At 34.7% G+C, this 22,645-nt stretch overlaps 1 protein-coding gene across 21 annotated transcripts in view, besides 3 other annotated features; it reads left to right on the top strand.

Annotated features, from left to right (window-relative positions):
- The window catches only part of NRXN1 (neurexin 1), a 1,113,630-nt gene that overhangs the window by 1,043,150 nt on the left and 47,835 nt on the right, over positions 1-22,645 (top strand). For 2 of the 21 annotated variants that reach the window (NM_001320157.4, NM_001320156.4), the window contains exon 1: positions 14,817-15,015. The exons of the other annotated variants lie outside the window; for them this stretch is intronic. In NM_001320157.4, coding sequence (NP_001307086.1) covers positions 14,983-15,015 — 33 coding nt within the window. In that variant the 5' untranslated portion in view covers positions 14,817-14,982. Of the gene's footprint in view, positions 1-14,816; positions 15,016-22,645 lie in introns of those variants that run through there. 21 annotated transcript variants of the gene reach the window in all.
- Positions 13,510-17,351: an enhancer, noted in NCBI's record as "VISTA enhancer hs2343". NCBI's record gives its function as "enhancer in: hindbrain (rhombencephalon)[4/4] | dorsal root ganglion[4/4] | forebrain[4/4] | trigeminal V (ganglion, cranial)[4/4]" and the evidence as "EXISTENCE:transgenic organism evidence [ECO:0001131][PMID:17130149]".
- Positions 14,891-14,960: an enhancer, noted in NCBI's record as "active region_15752". NCBI's record gives its function as "activates an Ori minimal core promoter by ATAC-STARR-seq in GM12878 lymphoblastoid cells {active_cell/tissue: GM12878}" and the evidence as "EXISTENCE:reporter gene assay evidence [ECO:0000049][PMID:35858748]".
- Positions 15,789-16,351: an enhancer, noted in NCBI's record as "NANOG hESC enhancer chr2:50199770-50200332 (GRCh37/hg19 assembly coordinates)". NCBI's record gives its function as "activates a minimal SCP1, AML or CMV promoter by ChIP-STARR-seq in primed H9 embryonic stem cells {active_cell/tissue: H9 hESC(primed)}" and the evidence as "EXISTENCE:reporter gene assay evidence [ECO:0000049][PMID:30033119]".

Below are 22,645 nucleotides of genomic sequence, written 5' to 3'. Positions count from 1 at the left end.
TTCCCACTGTACATGCATATGAACAGGTGGTAGAAATTCCTGCCTGATTTCTGTTGGATATAGTTTTCAACTGATGAGAGTTTTAATTTTTAAAATAACTTGTTATAAGTTTAGTTATAGCATTTGCAATTTACTTAATTTAGATTTCTTAACTCTGCTATGTAATGGTACATAATTGCATCAATGCACATTTGTTAATAATTAAATTTCAGACATATATCCTTTACAGTTCAAATATTAATCATCTCTTTTCCCTCCCATTATCTTGCTTCCCAAATTTATTTGTACGGTGATAATTCAATTCATTCTCAGTGATCAGAGGTGAATAGGCAGGCTTCAGGGCTTTTTTTTTTTTTTTTTTTTAATAGTTAACTGTGTCAAGACCAAAATTAGTTTAAGGAGGGTAAAATGTCTAAGAGAACTCTGTTACTAAGTCACTAAGTCTTCTGGCCATGTACTTTGTGATTCAGCCATGAGTTTAGGTAATGTAAAACTCTTCTGAAAGCAAAAGACAACTAGTATATCTGCTGTCCTATGACTCATGAAAAAGGAAGAGTCAACTCAGATCTGTGACCCCTCTTTTTGTTTCCCAGTCTAGCAGCTATTTTGTTTACCCAGATTTTAGCAGGAAAGAGTCTTCTTTTCAGTATGTACAGTTTTTTTTTTTTCTGATAGAATAGTCAGAATAATTATCTGATTACCAAGGTAATGGCAGACACTAAGTCTTTCTCTGTGGGTTTCCTAGATCAGGAGATAATGGAACCATTTTCAAAGAGTCAAAGAAATTATTTATTATGTAAGAAAACCTTTAATTTAGGAGGACTGTTTCACTCTTTAATATATATTTCCCAACCATCACATTTTGCAGCAATTTAGCAGGGATGAATGTATAAATGTTTCATTTCCAAGTTACTAAGTGGGTGCCTTTCAAAGGATCTGATTTGGCAGTAGAACACATAAAAGTAATATTTGTTACTTTTTTTGTTCCACTCATAGACATAGGAAACTATAGCTTCAAATCAATTCAAACTGATGATTTTCATATTTTTGCTTTCAATTGTTTTGTAATTGTGAAATTACAACTAAATATATAAATTGATTAGACCTTAAAATATTGCCTGATATGTTAGGATAAATTTTATAGGAAAAAAATGTATAATAATAACTTCTCTAGAATTCTAGTTTCTTTTCCAAAAGTCACAGCTGAGTCAAAAAAAAAAAAACGTTGTTTCATCTAGAATAAATTTATGTATGATTAGCTCATCCTTCTATTTAGGTAGAATGTTGACATAATGGGCTCAAAATTTGACAAACTATAAAAATACTACTATATCACATATTTTAAAGGTCATTAAAGGGACCATAAGACACTATAGGCTTCAATCTATCAATGGGTCATTGAATCAATATTACATGTTGAGGTACACTGTGGTTCCAGGCAGGCTTACCACATGCTGTAAAGTGATACCTAAGGTTTGTAATGATGATCTCCATCAGGAAAATTTCAAATAGGGAAACAACAATAGGACATATATGTAAATTAGACACAAAAAATAATAAATAATATATGCTCTAAATATTATAAAAACAGAGCAGTGTTTCTCAAAATATGATCTAGAAGTCTTGGGAGGCCAAGGCTTAGGACAGGGGAAAGGAGTGTTGTAAGACCTTTTCAGTGAGGTCAAAATTATTTTCAAAATAATACTAAAATTTTACTGCATGTTCTCACTCATATGTGGGAGCTAAGAGAAATTTAGCTCATTGAAATAGAGAGCAGAATTGTAGGCTGGGAAAGGTAAAGGGGGAAGTAAGAATAGGGAGAAGTTGGCTAACAGATACAAAATTACAGTTAGATAAGGAGGAATAAGTCCTAGTGTTCTATAGTACTGCAGGGTAAATATGGTTAATAATAATTTAATGTATATTTTCTTTTTTTTTTCTCACTCTGTCAGCCAAGCTGGAACGCAGTGGCTCACTGCAGCCTCAACCTGCCCAGCTTAGGTGGTCCTCCCACTTCAGCCTCCCAAGTAACTGGAACTGCAGGTGTGCACCACCCCACCTGGCTAATTTTTTGTATTTTTTGTAGAGATGGGGTTTTGCCATGTTGCCCAGGCTGGTCTCAAACTCCTGGGCTCAAGCAATCCACCTGCCTTGGCCTCCCAAAGTGCTGAAATTATAGGTGTGAGTGACCATGCCCAACCTAATGTATATTTTCAAAAAGCTAGAAGAGAGGACTTTGAGTGTTCCCAAAACAAAGACATGATAAATGTGTGAGATTATGGATATGCTAATTACACTTATTTGATTATTACATGTTGTATGCATGTATCAAAATATCACTCTGTATCTCATAAATATGTAGTTATTATATGTCAACAAAAAAAGAAAAAACTTTACCCTTTTCATTCTCATTGTTTCATAAGGATACAGTGGAATTTTTTAAAGACTACATGACATGAAATATTGCAATAGATTGCAGAAGCAAATATGAGCCCCAGTCTTCTAATTTAAAAGATATTGAAAAGATCTGCAAAAATGTAAAACAGTATTATTTTCTTTAAAATGTATGTTTTTGAAAATGTAGTTCCTTTTTAAATTTATGTTAATGGGTTTATTGTTATTTTTAAATCAGTTAAATATTTAACTTTTATCACCTTTAATTTCTAATAGAGTAAATATCCACATATGTAATCTACATAAACAATATGTATGTCTTTGGAGTTTTCAATTATTTTTAACAGTGACAATAAGATCTAAGACCAAAATTGAGAATCGCTGCTTTAGAGAAATGCTAGATTATTTATGTGATTATTTATGTAACATATGTGCCCTGTGGCATCTGAGTTTCTGGCCAATTTATCACTTCATTTAGATCGAAGTCACATATTATTAAGTTAACATTCTTTTAGGTTGTCTACAATTTGTGATACTGGATTTTTTAATTCATGATAGTGGTCTTCAGAGTATAAAGCATTTTCTTCACAGAAAGGATGGACTTTTAATTATTCCACAAATGAAGTACATTTCCTTGGGTCATACCATGAAGTGATTCTGTACCATAAATTGTTACATATTGGTATGGCCCCATCGAATGTGAAATGTGTTGTCAGTATTACTAATAATGGTTTAACTTCCAAAGTGAGTGAATATTTTTTTTTTGTTGTAAATATCAAGCAATGTAGATTCAAGATTTTGTCTGTGTTATCATTCTCACTCATTTGCATGACAGTATGCCTTCTTAAGTGAAAAGGAGCAGATGAGGTTGTAGCCAGCTTGCTGGGAAGGTGACTGGTGATGTGTCCTGCAGGTAAACTCCATTTGTCTTGCTTGTCACAGTGGAAGTAGAGAATCTCAAAGCAATTAATGTAGCATTTAAAGAAGTGACTAAACTCAGTGCACACTAATGACTTCATTGTTTTTGCTTGATCTGACTAGAGTTTATGCACAAATGACGACTGAAATAAAGCCTAACATTTTCTAAAGAGTACAAGCAAAATCTAGTGCATTGCAAAATAAAACATAGTAGCGTCTTTTCCAGGCTTCACATGAATCTATACAGCTTGAAAAGGAGGAAAATTCTAAGAATAGTATTTACCAAGCCAAAGTCTTTGGTCTTCATTAAATATAGAACACTAATTTCTTCCACGGTGAATGAGTTATGTCAAAAATAAAATTTATTGAATCGTAGAATCAAAATAGTCTATGCAAATCCTAGATGTAACTTCTTCATCTTAATAGTTAATAAGGATTTCTGCTATTTATTGACCATTGAATCTATGCTAGTTTCTCTGCTAGGTGTTATATTTTATCTTATTGATACCTTATGGAAATTTTCAAAAGGTATATATTGCTGTTACTCTCATTTTATGGGTGAAACAGCTGTGACTTAGAGAAGTTGAACTAACTAGCTCAATCTAAGTGCCAAAGCTGTAAAACCAGATCTGTCTGATTTCACTGCCCCATTCTCTCCACTAAGTTATTCTCTCCCTATAGTCACATATTACATGCATTGGATTGGCAACATTGATCACTTTTATTTCTCAGGAATGGATGCCCAAATAGGCAGATTAAATGGTTTGTACCAAGTCACCAAATAAGAAACAAAATCTGTGTGTCCTTAGGTGGACATGTGGAACTCAATCCAGGGTATGGGACTAGACATCATTCTTCTCTGAACTTTCAGAATGCTTACTACTATGCAATATAACTTCTGTGGCATTTATAATATACTATCGTGTGTGTGTGTGTGTGTGTGTGTGTGTGTTTGTGTGTTCTCAAAGGACTTTGTCTTGTATTTATCTTTCCCACAATTCTTTGTACCTAGTTAGGCTGTAAGATGTATTAATGACTGAATGACTAAGTAAAGAAATGGCCCAATACAGTGCTTTCCTGAGTGCAAGCTCTAGGAACTACCAAGAGCCATAAAAGAGGAGAGAAAGGAGCCCCCCTTCACTGGCCACTCACTTCAATATGAGTCCTCTGATATTGTTTTTTATATTGAATTATTCATAAGCATTATTTTGGAAAAAAAGTTTTTATTGCTAGAGAAGTTTCTGTTTGTTTTTAAAACACCTGTTTAGTTTATACGACGTCAGATCTCATTTTCTCAGTTTGAAATTAGCAAAATTCAGTTGGGTGTAGTGATTTTACTAGAATGAAGGCTAAAATGTGGCTTAAAATATGTGAATTCTGGTTCTGATTTTTCCACTTGCTAGCCACATTTCTGTGTGTTAGATTACTTATCTTTCAAATTACATTTATGGTATACTTGCTTTGTCTGTATTTGCTTTTTCTGATTTTTTTTTCTTAATTTTTTGAAACCAGGTCTCACTCTATTGACCGCACTGGAGTGCAGTGCCATGATCACAGCTCACTGCAGCCTCAGCCTCTTAGGCTCAAGTGATCTTCCCACTTCAGCTTCCTGAGTAGCTGAGACTACAGGTGCTGTATTACCACACCCAGCTAATTTTTTTTTTAATTTTAGTAGAAATGAGATCTCACTCTATTGCCCAGGCTGATCTCAAACTCTTGGCCTCAAGTAATCCTCCTGCCTCAGCCTCCCAAAGTACAGGAAGGAGCCACAGTGTCCAGTCTTTGTATTTCTTACCAGTTTTGGTAGAGAGAAAATGAGAGAATATATGTAATGCAACAAAATGCACAGTGATATATGTTAGAATAATTATTGATTATATTTTGTTAAATAATTTATCAGCAGTTATTTTAAAACATTTATTCCATCTACAGTGGGGCCATGTACATGCTGTGTTCTCCACAGGTGGTTTCTAATCTTATTTACTAGTCCTAACACTTAATTAACAAAAGTTGTTTCTGTATGAACTAGAAAAAGACATTTTCTGATTCCAGAATACCTAAAAGTCATTATCTAAAGGACTCAAAGATCTGACTCACAGCATATCATAGAATTGTGCTATCTAAGCCTGAAAGTCATCAGCAAAGGTATTAAAAATGTAGACCTACAAAATATATAAATATTAAAAGTATAAAAATATAATTTAAAAGACCCGTAAAAATATAAATGTTCCTAGTACTAAATGACCTATAAAAGACTTAAGGAAAGAAAGCATTTTTACCCAACATACAGCCACAGATTTTGACTTGAGTATCACATTGACATTTACTCATTTATTCCTCATTTGCTTAACAAACATTTATTGAATGTCTAATATAACCAGCCCCTGTGCTAGAAGCTGATGTTCCAAAGATGAAGTGGACAGCGGCTCATCCCTTGAGTTGCTAATAATCTAGGAAAAAGAAAAGAAATATACAAACTATAACAAACACAGAGCTATTTGAATAAGTGTCCCAAATAGTATTATTACAAAGTACTATGGAAACACAATGGAAATAATGACTAACTCTTCCTAGAGGATTTGGAAAGGCTGCAAGAAAGAATAGCATTTGAGCTTAGTACAAAACAATGTGTAGGAGTTTACCAAGATTTTTTATTTAAATGGGAAAAGGGCGTCCCCAGATAGAAAAGACAGCATGTTCATGCCAGTAAAGATGTTATAGAACATAGCATGCTTGAGACAATGTGAAAATTAGAACAAGTCTTTTGAAAAGTAGTTTAACAGATTGTTTCAAGATCTATAAAAACACTATGTCTTTAGTCTAGTAATCTCATTTATGGTCACTTATGTTATGAAAAAAATACAAAGGAAGAAAATTGTTATTTACAAAGCAGAAATGCAGAATAGAAATGCGTCCATTATCTAAAAAACACAGAATAGGTATGTACATTACAATACATCCATTTTATTTATTCTTTTGCTACTAGAATAATTATGAATATTCTAAATCAAGATGGAAAATGTATGTGCCATTATATAACTTATAAAACCAAAGAAAATTATATCTTTATTACTATAACTATTCAAACTATACAAATAAGAAATGAAGAATTTGAAATAAAAATCAAAACAACAGCATCATCAACAAAAATCATGAAGTTTTGTCAAGGTGGTGGGATTTTGTGTGTTTTTTTTAAGTAGATTTACTTTTTTGTGGTCATGTAATTTACTAATTCAACTAAGAGTTATTGGTGATTTCATATGTGCTGGAAGCATTGCTAAGCCCTCCAGCTGAAAAGATAAAGAAGTTTATCATTTTAATAATAAATTCTAACAGTTTTAAAGAAAAACATTTTATACCTCAATGCCTTTGCCAAAATAATTAACTCTACCATCATTCAAGGCCCAAATTGAATCGAACCTGTTTCATGAAATCTATTGATAATCTATTCATCTCATCATTCCTAATCTTTTTCTAGATTTATCAATCTTCTATCTCTCCAAATGAAAGACATTGTGTTTAATAATTGAATTGGATGACCCGGCATGTCCAAGGCTGGTGTGACTATCTGCAGGAAATGGTTGGAGAAGAATCTGGTTCTTGACTTTATGTACATTGGAGAGTGTGTGTCTCAAATAAAGTCTAAAACAACCTACGTCAGGATCACCTGGAGTACATGTTATACATATAGATTTTCACTCTCATCCCTGGAAATTATAATTCCTTAGATCAGGGTGGGTCCAGACACTTTGCATTTTTAATAAGCACCCTAGATCTTAAGCAACTTAACTTTGGAAAACCATTGCTATAAAATATTGAGTCTTCATGAAATAAGTGCATCTGAGGCTGGAATTTTCCCTTGGAATGCTGTATTTATGTAAGTGTCCATTTGAAAATATCTTCTGTTCACTGATTTTTTTATATATTCAGTCCAAGCTGAGCTTTGTTTCTAACTCAGATTTCACAGTTTTGTTAATAGGCAACATTCACTCCATGTGGGTTCTGTATGTACATATGCATAGGGTTATGAAGTCATCTGTGGCCTTCTTCATAGGTGTCTTATTTAAGTCATTCTTGTTGCATAAAATATTATTGCTTGGGTCATTATCAAGAGCGGGAAAAGTGGGGGGGAAGAGGATTTACACTTGATAATGCCTGACAAGCTGTATTCACTGACAAGCCAAAAGTTTCTCGTATAGTCCATTGTTGTGCCTCAACTACATGTAAGGTTTTATGTTCATTTTTCCTTTAGTTCTTTTCCCTCTTCCCTCCCTCCCCTTCATTCTTCCTTTTTTCCAATTTTCCTTAATTTCTTCTGATGGACTTGTCCATGGACTATGGTTTTTTGATGAGTGCTTTCATCAATCAGTTACCAAAAATATTTAGTCACTGACTACTGTTTGGTAAACTGCATTGTCCTGAAAGATTCAGTTCCTTATTAACCTTATCCTTTGGGTCTTGAGGTTGGATCAAAGTGAATAGTATGTCATCCTTCTGTCAAAGTAAGAGAAATACATAGCATGCCAAAAAGCTCAGAAAATTTAAAAACTGGTCAGAGACTGGCAGTAGGAAATGTAGAGATTAGCCTAAAATGAGCATGTTTTGGCACCACTAATCTTTGACCTTAAGCTTTCCAACCTAGAAGTCAGCTAGGAGAAAAACTAGAATTGCAAGATTTCTGTACAGTGTACTATTTCATTTTCATGAGTCATCATTTCACATGAAATGGCTGAGGACTTTTCTCTGGGAAGATTTATTGTCAAGCAATTGGGGAGGTTTTCATCTGACTTCAGTAGGTTCTCATCTTATAAAGGAAACTTTACCTCTCTCTAGAGGTCTAGAAACCCATCATATGAAAACCCCTCTGAAAATAAATTATTTTCTAGCATATACAAAATGACATTGCCTGTATATCTGCACATTCATGGTTTCTAATTGCAGCAGTGGAGGTAGGAACCAATTCAGCCAAGTGCCCTATTTGTAGGTTCAAAAGGGTCATCCTATTCTAAATGCTATGATTTGTACATTTCTTCTATGCACATTAATCTTCCTTGCTCAAAAATATTTTCAACTAAAATACTTCATACTTTATCTAACTCAATATGGGAAACTATCCCTTAATGGATGGCTCTAAGTCATCTGCATTTTTCCTCTCTGCTGTGAAGCTATTCTCTGCTCCAGTTTCTCTCTTGGTAAAAAACTACTCCTACCAACTTTCCTTTCTATTTTTTTAAAGCTTCCCATTTCTATTCATTGAAATCTTGTTGATATGGCTTTTCCCAAAGAAGAATTCCGAAGCTGAAACTCCAATATGGTCCCAAGGTTCTTAAAGTATGGAAGATGGAATGTTTGTTAACAATGCAGACTCTTGGAATCCATCTGAGTTAGAGTAGGAATCAGTCTCCATGGAAGGGCCCAGAAATCTGGATGTTTAACGTGTGCCTTGTTGGTTCTTATGCATAATAAACTTTAACAACAACTATTCTGGAACGCTAGTTCTGATTTGGAGAGAACATTCAAAATGTAGTCGTAGACTTTCAGTTGCTAGCTTCATGGATATATATGTTATTTAATCCCTCTGAGTCCCAATTTCTTTATTTTTAACATTAGCATAATAATTTTTAGGATATAATGTTAATGAAAAGATTGCCTGGGGCCACAGATGTTTTGTTTCTGTTTGCTTTTTACAAAGCATATATACCTAGATAAACAACCAGAGTAAGAAAAACAAAACCCACAAGAATACAGTAGCAGAAAAAAAAAACCAAAAAAACAATATAAGACTATGTGGAATTTTACTCACTTGGACATTAATTTCCATCCTATCTCTAATCCATACTTGCAAATATTAAATTAATAGTTAATAGGAATTTAATGGTACTCCATAGTCTCAAAGTAGTGCTTCAATTATAAGGAGAAAAAGGAAAAATAATAAAAAACTAAGACAATCTGCTTGGATTTTCCACCACTTCTATTTTTCCCATCTCTTAAAAACTGAAAACAGTCCAAAATATTTCCCTATGCTATAGTTCCTGTCAACTGGAGTTTACTTTCTGACATATGTCTTTTGAAAGTCATCCATGCATCCTATTCATCATGACTGTAGTGCAAATAGAGATGAGAATTTTCATTTAAAAAAAACTTCAGCAGCCACTTAAATTCTTCTGAAAGGAGAATACTCAAGGCTTCTTCTTTTGTATTTCATAACCTATAAATACTCATTGGAATATTTTGGAAGATAATACTTCCTCTCCCTGATAGCAAAGGCTCTCCGTGCCTTAATACAGCATCAGCATGGGAAAGAGAAGGCTTTGGAGATTTATCTCTTACTGAACATCAACTTTTCCCCTCCCTCTAAGTTTTTGTTTCTTTGTTTTTTTGAGTCTTGTTCTGTCACCCAGGCTGGAGTGCAGTGGCATGATCTTGGCTTACTGCAACCTCCACCTCCTGGGTTCAAGGCATTATCCTGCCTCAGCCTCTCAAGTAGCTGAGATTACAGGTGCATGCCACCACGCCTGGCTAATTTTGGAATTTTTAGTAGAGACAGGGTTTCACCATGTTGGCCAGGCTGGTCTCGAACTCCTGATCTTGTGATCCACCTGCTTCGGCCTCCCAAAGAACTGGGATTACAGGCATGAGCCCCCGCACCCGACCTCCTTCCCCTAAGTCTTACCCTGGTTGTTATCTATGATGATTTTTGAAAGCACCTTGAAATTTGTCAATATCAGGTTCACTGATTGCTTTGAATGGTAAAGAATGTCACTTTCACTTAAAATTTAAAACAAATTATTTAACCTCTCTACATTAAAATCCATCTCTAAAACGAAGGAGTTGGACTATTCAATTTGTAAAAATCTATCTAGTTTTAAGAGAATTGTGACATGTAGTTTTCTCCCACACCATAGAGTTTGTAATAATATCCATGGGTTTGTGGTCATCTTTTTTTTTTTTTTTTTGTGGCCTCTCTTTTCTTTTTATGGCTATCTCTCTCTCTCTCCTCTGCCCTCCCTCCCCCAGCTGTTTTTCTGTGAGATTTCTAACATTTCCTTTGCAACAAAGGCATTAGCTTTGCTTAAAGCTGCTCCAGTGTCCTAGTCCTCCAGCTGGCTCTGTCTTTGAGCCTTGCTGCACTAACCCTGAACACCACAGGCCTGACAGTGTGGGGATTAGCATTAGAGGAGTCCCAGGAGGAAAAGCACCTGAAGTTAGTCCTTAGAACTCTGTTTTCAGAAACCTTATCTATGGATAGAGACACTTCGTGAGAGCCCGAGGACAAGAACTGCAGACATAGTTTCTAAGGGGAGAGGGTGGCACTCTGTCTCCCATGCAAGCTGTGGTGTAGGGTGGTCCAAGATAGGATTTGTTCACTTTCTTGCTCACAAGCCCACCTTTGTAGAGAAAGTAGCCTCAGAATTATAATTTGAGAGTTACAGAAGTTTCCTCTCCTTTATATATTTCCTCAGCTAGTCCTCCTGTGATCCCTGTAATTACTACATTTTCTTTTTTGTGGGGGATGGAGTCTCGCTCTGTCACCAGGCTGGAGTGCGGTGGTGCAATCTCAGCTCACTGCAACCTCTGACTCCCTGGTTCAAGCGATTCTCCTGGCTCTGCCTCCCAAGTAGCTGGGATTACAGGCACCTGCCACCACGCCTAGCTAATTTTTGTGTTTTTAGTAGAGACAGGGTTTCACCATGTTGGCCAGGATGGTGTCAATCTCCTGACCTCGTGATCCACTCGACTCAGCATCCCAAAGTGCTGGGATTACAGGTGAGCCACCGCCCCGCTACATTTTCTGTCCATACCTTTAAAAATGCAAATATCATGCAGAGCAATAAAGACTTCAAGTATACTGTTAATTTCAATTAGGTTAATTTCTCACTTTAATTCTTTTAAAAAACCTATGAAGAACAGATAACTTGACCTATCACAGCATTTGAACAAATTGACCCTAATCTCTTTACTAACACACTTTTACCACTGACTTCCAGGTCACCATCCTTTGAGTTGTCCTCCCATCTCTTCATCCTCACTTGCTGTTTTTTCCTGTTTTCTGTAACTTATTAAAATTGGAGAAACCCAGGGCTTGGTCCTTGGTCCCCTTCTCTTCTCCATCTAAATCTTGTCACGTTACAATATATGCTTCATAATACAGAATATATTTATTTAATCTTTCGGAAAGAAGGTAGAAAAGTTTAGCATTTAGAACATGGTTTCTCTATCTCAGCACTGTTGACATTTGGGTCCAAATAATTATTTGTGATAGGGACTGTCCTGTACATTATAGAATGATTAGCAGCATTCTTGGCCACTATCCACTGGATGCTGCTAGCACCCTCCAGTTTTGACAACCAGAAATGTCACCAAACATTGTCAAATGTTCCCTGGGGGGTGGGATGGAGCAAAATCACCATCCGAAACCACTGATTTACAGCACTTTTATGTAAAACCCCAAAACCCTTAAATTATTCAAATTGTAATCTTTGACTTAATTTGGCCAATTCATTTTTTTTTTAGGTTTGTATCTCTTAAAGTTACAAGAATCTGAATAACAACAAGAGCCAACAATAGAATCTATAAGCCAAGTTTTCAGTTTTGGACAACATAAGCTGCTTCTGGGGAGGAAACACGTGAAAATTTGTTTTGTCTTTAGCCCTACACCATTATTGGTAAAAACATGGATGTTATTTTGCCTTTGAAGCAGCAGTGAACAATACCCTAAATTGAAATTCAAGTTTAGCTTGGCCACTTTTTGCTAATTGCATCCAGCTGAGAAAACTAAGGCTTGAAGAGGTTAATTTGCCCATGTCTGGGTAAATATACAAATCATTTACTTCTCAGCCTTTTACATTCGTTCCTGGAAGAATCAGACAAAATTTGGGTTAATCGTCACTCTAAATTGTAAAGCTCTTAATCCATGTCTGTATTATTATTTGCATTCATAGATAAAAGAACTTCAAGTTGATATGAGATGTGAAGGTCTTCAGCAGAGATTGCCAGAACCTTTATTTTACAGTTCCCTTCTTGCCCACACCTACACTATTTTCTTTACATGAAAAAAAGCAGGCCACATGTCCTTCCCTCTGTCTTCCTTCCTTTCCCTCAAGATTTTCCCTCAAAACATACCAGTCATGCTCTTCTAAACCTACATGAACATCGATAACATTATCTTAATTCATTTTAAATTAGAAAAGTAAACCATAGACTTAAACAAAATGTATAAAATGATACCTAATAAAACTATGTCTCAGTCCTACCTTTGAACTCAGTCTCCTCAGATGTAGCCACTATTTGGCCACTATTAACTGATAGTTTATGTCCTTACAGAAATTTCCTGTAGGTCGGGCAGGGTGGCTCATGCCTCTATAATCCTGGTACTTTGGGAGGCCAAGGTGGGCGGATCACTCGAGATCAGGAGTTTGAGACCCACCAGGCCAACATGGTGTAACCCCATCTCTACTAAAAATACAAAAAAAAAAAAAAATTAGCTGGGCGTGGTGGCACTCTCCTGTAATCCCATCTACTCAGGAGGCTGAGGCAGAAGAATCACTTGAACCTGAGAGGCAGAGGTTGCAGTGAGTCTAGATCCCACCACTGCACTCCAGCCTGGGTGACAGAGCAAGACTCCATCTCAAAAAAAAAAAAAAAAAAAAAAATTCTTCCGCATATGCAATCATTTGTGTGTGTATACATGCATGTATTATGTAAGTAAGTATAGCCTATACACAATTTAAATTTTATGGCTTTTTCATTCAAATGTATCTGAGAAATCTCTTCATATAAGGACATATGATTTACCACATTGTATTTTACAGATGAAGAGTATTTCACCTGTAAGGCTGTATCATAGTTTATCTACTCAGTTTACTATCAGTGATTAAGGTGGTTTCTAGTTTGGGGCTATTACAGTGCTCTAATGAATAGGTTTAGTGTTGATGTTTTATTATTATTTTGTTTTTAATGACAGGTGCTCTGAGTCATAATATTTTTTAAGAATAAAGTTTGTTGAGAATTACGTTATTATTGAATAGTCTGAATAAATAGAAAAAAACACATGACAACATCTATTTTAAAAAACTTGAAAAATGCTTTATTATTTCCTGATAGTCAATATTGAATGAAAGAAAGAATTTGCAAAAAAACTTGACAGGGTTCAATCTTTCAGGAATGTGTTTAGTTTAAAAAAATAGTTGCCAAGACAAATTGAGCTTTGGAATTTCAGCATTCTACAACTCATAAGCTTTACTTATGAGGCACACCTATCAATGTTTATTCCAATACACTTTTTTTCTAAATAGTGTTGCCAGACTCTAAAAGATGTTAGAATTAATTCTTTCAAATGTATGAATAGTATGAAAACTGGGCAATGAAAAGCAATAAAAGTGCCAGGGTGGCTAGGGTAATTTTTCTTCTAGAAATTTTATTCCTGAAGATTGTTTTATGCTACTTTTGAGCTTTAAAAAAAAAATCTCCGTGATACTGTCATTTGAAACACACACCGGTCTCATCACTTATAGCCTACCCTGTCAGACTGTATATAATCATATATATAATATATAATTGTATGTATATGTATATATAACTATATATAATCATCTCACATTGAAGAAGTGTGTAAACATATCTGTTATTACAGTATGATCACTGGAAACAGATGTATTTGGGGATATAGTTCCATATGGTATTCCAGATGTGTAGTCTTTGCTTACCAAATAATTATTGTAAATTTCAGAGAAAAGGCAGCAAATAAGTACATATTTTCATCATTGAATAATACATTTGTTCTTCAGGCTTTGGGAAACAGGATGTGCATCTTTTGGTGCTTGTTTTTATTTTTAATGATTGATAAAATGGCATATTTATTGGGACTTAAATTGTCTTTAAAGAGCAACAGTTGTAATTGGCCAAAAAAAAAAAAGCCTAAGAATGTATTTCTTAATGTTGCATAATTGTCTTTACAAACTCATCCCATAAAAATACTCATTATAAACTTGGCATTCAAAAAATGTCATTCATTAACTTACAAATAAAATTGTAATTACAATTACAAGGCTTCGAGGAGATTCTACTAGGAGGGTTCCATGCTAATTGCACAGTTTTAAGTCTTCTAATTTAATATTAGGTAAAAAGATAATTATCTCAAGAAAAACACATAACAGTTTAAGGGCTGGGGAAAAAAAAGTTTCCCCTCTGTGTTTAGCAATCACACTGGATTTGAATGTAATATACAGAAAATGTTCGTGCATGAAAATAAGCCTTTTTTTCGGTCGGGGGTTAGAGGGAGGTCTGTTTACCTATGCGGTCTCGTTAGGGGAGCAAATTGAAAAGCAACGACTGCTGAGACTTTTTGAGTGGTGCCGGGCTGGGCTGTGTACCAACAGCCTCGTCAACTGCAGACGGAACTGCAGCATCCCTTCCTGCCGTAGTGCGTCAGCCATTGGCTCCTCAGTGACACGTGACTGACAGAGCGTTTTCTGTGTCTTTTCTCGCCCATCTGTGTGCAGGGCACTGATAGGCCGGGCTGATGCGCAGGCAATTTATCATCTTGATCTCCCACTGAGTCAGGGAGCTCTCCTGTCACCAGTATTGATTTCAGAGGATGGACTAAATTTCCTAGGATTTCCATTAAGAATTAAGAAAAAAGCTCTAAGCACGCAGGGTAGCCAGACAGACATGGATATGAGATGGCACTGTGAAAACTTGCAGGTAGCTTCTTCTGTCACAGCCGCTGCTGAGCACAGCTTAGATCTGCAGCATGCAGGGTTTAAGATACCAGAAGCCTAAAAACAATAATAATGAAAATAAGAATAAACTCATTTGGATAAACTAATTTTAAGATTTATGTTAAAATATTTCTTCTTGAAGATTGCATGTCAAATTTATGCACGCTGTATGTGAAATGTGGAAAGGTTGTTTTAAATTTTAAAATGTCCTTAAACCCTGAGCATGGTTGCTTCTAGTTTTGTCTGCTGCTTTGTGTGAGCTTCAGGGGTTTATCAGCATGCTTGTGGCAAAAACAACCAAAACTTGTGTCTGTGTGTGTGTGTGTGTGTGTGTGCATATGTATGTATATATGTATTAACTTAGTTCAAGTAAAAGCATGAATAAAAGCTGCTTTCAGTACTTGCCAGACTGCTTTATTATTGTTAATGACTTGCTGAAATTTTTGCTTAAATATGCTTAGATTCTGACCATGCATGCTTTTGTGGCAGAGTGGGATTTTCATGAGCATTTGTAAAGATGGAATGTCTGAATTAAATGCATGTTTGCTAAAACAGAAAACGTATTAGTGATCAGTGATTAAACCTGATTAATGTAAATATTTCATGATAAGATATGAGTAACATTTACTTACATTAATTCTGCTTACTGAAAAAAATGCGTGTCTGGGATAATGAAAGTGTTTATTTCTGAAATATTAATTTTGATTATTTCAACAATAGTAAGATTTTAATTTTCTAAAATGCCTCCCAGATGAAATAATTAAAAACATTTTTAAAGAAATTATATCCTAGAGGAGGATTCTAAACTGCTGTTTGTGTATGTGAGAGACCATGTGCATGTTCATGTGTGTGTGAATTCCTTGGGGAATTGTTTGATACCCTCCTAGCTAGTCCTTATTCTCGAGAAAAGCAAAAATGCCTTGGCATTCAAACATTCCCTAGGCCTGTGGAGAATTAGAGCTAGCAGAAGCAAGAGTATAGCCAGATGGGATTGGCATGCTTGGAGTGAGTGGAGACAATAGGTGGGGGTGGAGCAGATGGAGGACAGAAGGGATTGCATATCAGAAAAAGGGTAGGAGGGTGCCCTTAGGGAAGAGTGTGCTTAATAGTGAAGGAAGCCTGGCCTCTCTTTTCAAGGGAAGTTCTGATTGCATCTTCATTTAATTAGGAGACAGAATGTCATATCTGTGGTGACAACTATTTTCATTAAATTAGATAGCCCTCGCTTCATAAAGGGAAGAAATTCCATGAATAGAAGTTGCTTTACCAGATTACAAATGGTGTGTTGTCTATTTGTGGTGTTTGTCACATTTTTCTCTTTGCCAAGCTCAGGAAAAGCAGAAGAGAAATTAACAGTAGGCTATTGTATTATTTTAGTTAGTAGCATCGAAATATAAAAGTGGCAATTAATACTAAACTTATTTACTAGACTTTGGATGATTCAAGCATCTATAGGGCTTACCAAATTTTTCCCTAAATAAGTTTTCAATTCTGAAAATGTTTAGAGCCATGCAAACTAATCTACTATTATTTTCCTTCTGACTTTTTAATAGATGGCCATTTACAGAATAACTTTTGAATATTTTATTTAAGTATTTGTTGATTTTATCATGCAGCGTGGAGCCTGACCAATACCCAGTTCAAATTCTGAAATGAAATTAATCTCTCAGCAGCCTCCATCAAGCCCTCTGTCACCCCCAGCTCCCAGAGAACTGGACACAGTTTTTGCCCAGAAAAGTCATAGGACTGAAGGAGGATGAAAATCAACTTATTTCTGAATCCTCTGATTTTAATGACTCTTACAAAATTCTAGTTGAACCCAGATACAGTTTTCAGTCCTAAGTGCAAATTAATCTGACAAAAATCATGCTTCTAAAATGTAACAGAAACACAAATTTAAAATGTTTAAATGCAATCTTTTGGGTTGCCCGCAGCTCACTTGTCAGTTATCTAGTGGATTTTGTATTAATACATTAATTAATGTAGAGAATTTCCATTCTCCAAAGAAAGTTTCCATTCTCAAAAAAAGTTCTTTTGACTTAACTTTTGAAACTTGGCTTGACAAGAAATTATGACTTAGACAAGAAGAAAAAAATTTTTACTTTTGGTACCTTAAGGTAAATTCAGGATAATATACTCAGATCATTATACTAGTTTTCCCAAAGTTGAAGAATAAAGCCAACTTATTTCTGCTGCAATTTCCTTCATATTCTATCCTTAGAAATTAATGGAAAAAAATTCACTAAGCAGCAATATGCTCCTCACTTGGCAAATTCCCTGTAACATTTTTAGAAAGAGTCTCCAGACCGATCTTTGGACAGATATTTATATTATGGAGAGTAGACTGCTGTTCATTAAGGAAAATTACCCAGTAATAAAGGATAAATATTTTCATTGACTTTGCACAATCAAGGTTGCCCAGTAGGCTAAGAGACACATTCTCCTTATGGGCAGAATGGAATGAAACTACAAGAGTCCTGAACTGTTATTAAATGTCTGGTTACAATAACATTTGGGCTCAACTGCCAAGCAAACTTCTCACCAACACATTAACTAGGGAAATACTTACATATTTACAAAATAATTAGTGATGTAGCATCGCATATTAAAGATGTTCTGGGATGAAATGCTACTGTCTGTGTCACTTCCATATGCTTCTTTAATTTATGAAATGTGTTCATACCACAGCATCTGGGTGCATTGATAAGGTACAAGGGCAATCAATTAACTATATGATGGATTCAGTAACCAGAATGCTAATTGATAGGAAAAGCCCTCTTAGCTGACACTTTTTAGTTTTCAAATGGGAAAAAAGCATGTAGCCAAGTACTTTAGGCCTTTGTCTATATTAAGTTTAAATATTTAAGAACTTATACTCTGCCCATTTAGAAAATGACATTTAAATGAGATTTCACCCTATCAAAATTAGTGCTGTTAATTCTAGTATTATGAGCACTACCAAAATCCACAGCTGAACAGCGTTAATGAATATTTAATCATACTTAGATCAAGTGGTGCCTTTTATTATTTAGTCTTCTCTTTTACCTCCCATTTTCCCTGCTCCCAGTGTTTTATTCCTCTGTTGCTTTACCTGTGGTTTATGGACTCAAACACCAATAGATAGAAAAAAATGGCATCCATTTGCTTCAGAACTTGAGATTATTAAAGACATAAACAATAATCTTTGTGCAAATTCAAGATAGTATAATGACACTAAGTTTAGATTTATACATTCTTTAGCATTTAAGTTTTTAAAATTTACACTAGAGTTACCAGTATTGACCAGAAAGACTGATTTTACCTTCTGCTATCTTATTTACATTTACTTGACAGCTGATATTTGAATCTCCTGAAGGCCTCCTTCCCTCATCACTCTAGCATAGAGAATGGAGCTAAGGACAATATTGTGGAGTAGGTAGGCAATTTCCAGTATACAGAAAAATTGGAGAGAGTCACAGACAATTATACATTCATGGATATATCTAGGGTCTTTTGGCACATTAAAGACAATATGAGTTCAAACTGAGTAACAACTATTAAAAAGCAGAAATATATGAGAGATAGTTTATATTTTTGCATCATAAACTATGTGTATTATCACTACCCGTTTCCATTTGCTCCTCAAATTTTCACCTTTATTTTAATTCATTTGATTAATCATAAGTAACTAGCTCAGATTTCCCAAAAATCAATGATAATTTTTTTCAGTGTTGTGCTATATATTTTTTGATCTGTGGGTTAAGCCACAATTCATCTTCTTGGGAATAAAAAACATTCAAATACTTGTTTTACTATTTTCCCATGACTATAATGTATAGCCTTTTGTTATAAAGTCTCCATTACTTTATTCATTACTTTGAAAGACAAAAACTATTTATCATGGTGGGAATGACTTGAATATTATTTTGGGGAGCCAAAATAAGTCAGTTCCCGAAAGAAATTAGTTCTGCAGTCTTTGTGCTCTCACCTTTGTTCCCCCTGCTTTTTTATTAAAATGTAATGAGTCTTGTAGGGTTCCACCATCTTGGCTCTAAGCCTATTTCAGATTTTTGATGGAAAACATGATTACATAAGTTCACAGCCTAAATTTATTAGTAAAGTCATGGATACAGTGAAGGCTTAACAGTATGGGGAAATGCCATTACCTGGCTGACTTAACATCGTTCAAGTTGAAAACTCTACAGGAGTATATCAGTCTACGGCCATACCACCCTGAATGCACCCATTCTCATCTGATCTCAGAAGCTAAGCAGAGTTGATCCTGGTTAGTACTCGGATGGGAGAGTATATCAAAGACAAAATTCTTTCCTAATCAGTCGTCCAGTGAAATGAATTTACCTATAATGAAAAAAATACTTTATATGCAAATGTATAGATTATATATATGTAATAAAATGTATTTATAATAAGGTGTAATTACATATATAAAACTAAGGCTGCCATTATGACTTCAAAACCATTTTATTGTCAGATCAAACCTTTTACATAGAATTTTGATTTTTTTAAAGCACTTTATTTAGAAGTTGCATATGTACAGCCTTGGGAGTCAATTCTCAATTTTCCATGTATGAACTGTCTACATAATGAATTATTTTGCATGATTAGATGTGCTTTTTGGACCAGTTACCCTCCATTGGCTTCAAAATCATTGTTTTAATTATATACCATGCATCCCTCCATTAGCACAGCTAGATTTGAGTGGATCATCTACTCTTTAGATTTGTAGTGGGACTACAACATTTGTATAAAATGTGTGTCTATGTAAAACATTGTTAAACATGTAGCTATTAACTAATAGGCTTAAAAGTACATATAGCAAGCCAAAAATTTGGCCGGGGATAAGCTACTGTTGGACTTGCCAAGAGGTTTCTTAGCCTTTAGGAATTTTACTATCTCTTTCCAGAATGTTGAAAATTAAAATATATAAGTAATTACTAAGCACCCCTCTCAGTGCTTTTGTACATTGTTAGTTAAGATCTGTTAAAATATGTACTGCATGATTGTATCTATGCCAGAACACTGCTAGATGTCATGGGTTATGCAAAGAAAAATGAGACACTTGCTGCCTTAAAAGTTCAATTGAGGATTCAAGACAAATAGGCATAAAACTAGAGGAGCACTGAAGGCCTAACTATTTTACCCTATAGCATTACTTAATATATATTTGCTCATTGTCTTGTCAATATATTTGCTCATTGTATTCTATATATTTCAAGGTAGCTTGGAGAAAGGAGAGTTTAATGTGGTTCAAGGAGATACATTCATGTTATTTCGCTGTATGTTTCCTGTGTTTGAGCAGCACTAGTTATCCAGTCACGAAATAAAAGGTAACACAAAATCAGGTCAAATCAGGTAGGCTACACATCCCTTAATATCAATACCTGCTTCTAAAATGGCATTACGGACACCGAGGGTACTAGAATATCCAGAGAGGACCCAAGTAGCTTGTCTCAAAATCAGTCAAGGGGGTTGTTTCCTATTGTTCTACATGTTCTCAGGACAACATACTGATTTCTTAAAAGCCGGTTTCATGCTTTATGAAATATAAAAGTAATGCAAAATGGATGCAACTTTTTGTTTAAAAGTCATCTGCATATTTAGTTTGTATTCATTCTCTTTATTCATTAAAATTAGCCATTGTTGCTAAGTGTTTTTCTTCAGAAAAAGTAAATTGGACACTTTGGCATAACTGCATAACTGTCTCAGACCCTTAGGGTATAATTGAGCGTTCTTATAAATTGCTGTAGCAATAATTCTTTGTTTGCCTTATTCTACTTCCTTCGCCAGCTCTTAATTTTCTTTTTTTTTTTTTGGTGGGATGGAGTGGGTAGGTGAGTGTGAGTGGGTCTGGGCAGTAAATGAGAATCTGGCCTTAGGTGAAACAATTTTGAATAAGTAATAATAATTATGTAAACCATTTACTCTTGATACTGGAATGGTCATCAATAGTATTATTTTCTCAGTAAGCAGCTTAAAATATGGTGAAGAATTATGGGATATTTTGTGAACCATTCATTAAAACTGACTGAAATGATACCTAGGTATAAAACATTAAACTGAATAGCTCTTGATTGCTTTACAAAACCTCAGGCTAGAGAAAAGGAAGCTGAGGACACTTCTTAAGACATCCACTGCAACAAGTGTTTTCTAGATTCCTGACTTTCTAGTTTTCCACATAGCCAGTAAGATTTCAATTGCAAGAGAAGGTGTCATTTTAAACAGAAGGCTACTCCTGCAATAACAAAATAAATACTGACTCCAGCCTATTTCACTCTACCTAGCAATCCCTAAATGATGCATCTACTCTTTGCAGTACTTTAAGAAAAGATATGAAGGTTTAAATTGATGAGATTAAGTAGAAAAGTATATGCTTGTTTTATTTGAAACTCTAAAATGGGAGGACATTTTCAAAGACATGCCATTCAAACAAGGATAATGCATGTTTTATGTCTATAAACGTAACAAAAGTGGGGAGGAATTTGTAGGTTGCTTGTTTTGGTTGTGGTTGTATTTTTCTTTGTTGAATGTATCTCCATCATTTTTTAAAAGAGAATGTATTTATAAATATCACAGCTTTGTCATTTTATATGTAATATATGGGAGTTAATCAGATCAGCATGCTTTATTTTAAAAATAAATATTTTAATTCAGAATAATTTGAGATTCTAGAAATGTCATAAACATATTTTAGAGAGTTCTTTTTGTTCATTTTTCCCTAATGTGAATATGTCATATAACCGTTGTATATCTGTCAATACTAAGAAATTAACATTCAGTTAATTTTAATCAATTTTTAAGGTGAATTACTTTTGAAAAGTGATTTACTTTACAGTTTTTGTGTCATAGATGCACTGTGTGTCATAAGACTACTTTGGGAAATTTATCACTGGGTTCGATCAATTGCCTAAGAGAATCCACCAATTGCCTAAGAGAATCCTCTTCACTGGGCTCCTCAGATTTCCACTTGGAAACATTCAATCAAATATTTTAGGAGTAAAAACAATTAACAGGAAAGCAGTTCTTTGTTTGTACCTGCTTTTTCTTTCTACCCTTTTAAATGTTGGATTTTTCTGAAGGTGGTCTCAGAATCTCCTTTTCTCTTTTGGTTTCGTTGGGAAATCTATATGATCCCCAGCCCAGAATTCTCTTCTCAACTTCAGATTTACCCTTACAACTGCTATCAGTTCACCTCAAATTCAACATGTCCCAGTGTGAACAGATTACTCTTTGGAGCTTATCTAATTTTAGAGCATTTTCTTTTAATTGATTTATGTGAAGACATTGTACTGGAGAAAGTTCTGTATCTACTGGTGAAGACTTAATGGCTTAATCATCTGATACCTGATTTTCTTGTTTGTAAGGTGAGGAGTTCGCAGGTCTAACATTTCATGATTTTAGAGTGTGAATAAATGTGTTTCCTTAAAAAAAAAAAAGAAATGCTTTAAAGAAAATTGGTCTTATAAACAGGCTGCTTTTCATTTTGTTGAATTATGTCACCTGGATTTTGAGATGAATCTGCATCTGAGATTTTCTTATGAGATTTTCATATTGAAAATTTTTATTTTGAAGGTAGTGCCAGAAAAATTGTCATGTCTAGCATTAATTATAGGGCA

Source organism: Homo sapiens, chromosome 2, assembly GCF_000001405.40.
Source record: "Homo sapiens chromosome 2, GRCh38.p14 Primary Assembly".
Lineage (NCBI taxonomy): Eukaryota > Metazoa > Chordata > Mammalia > Primates > Hominidae > Homo > Homo sapiens.
This window is presented reverse-complemented; position numbering and strand designations above follow the sequence as displayed.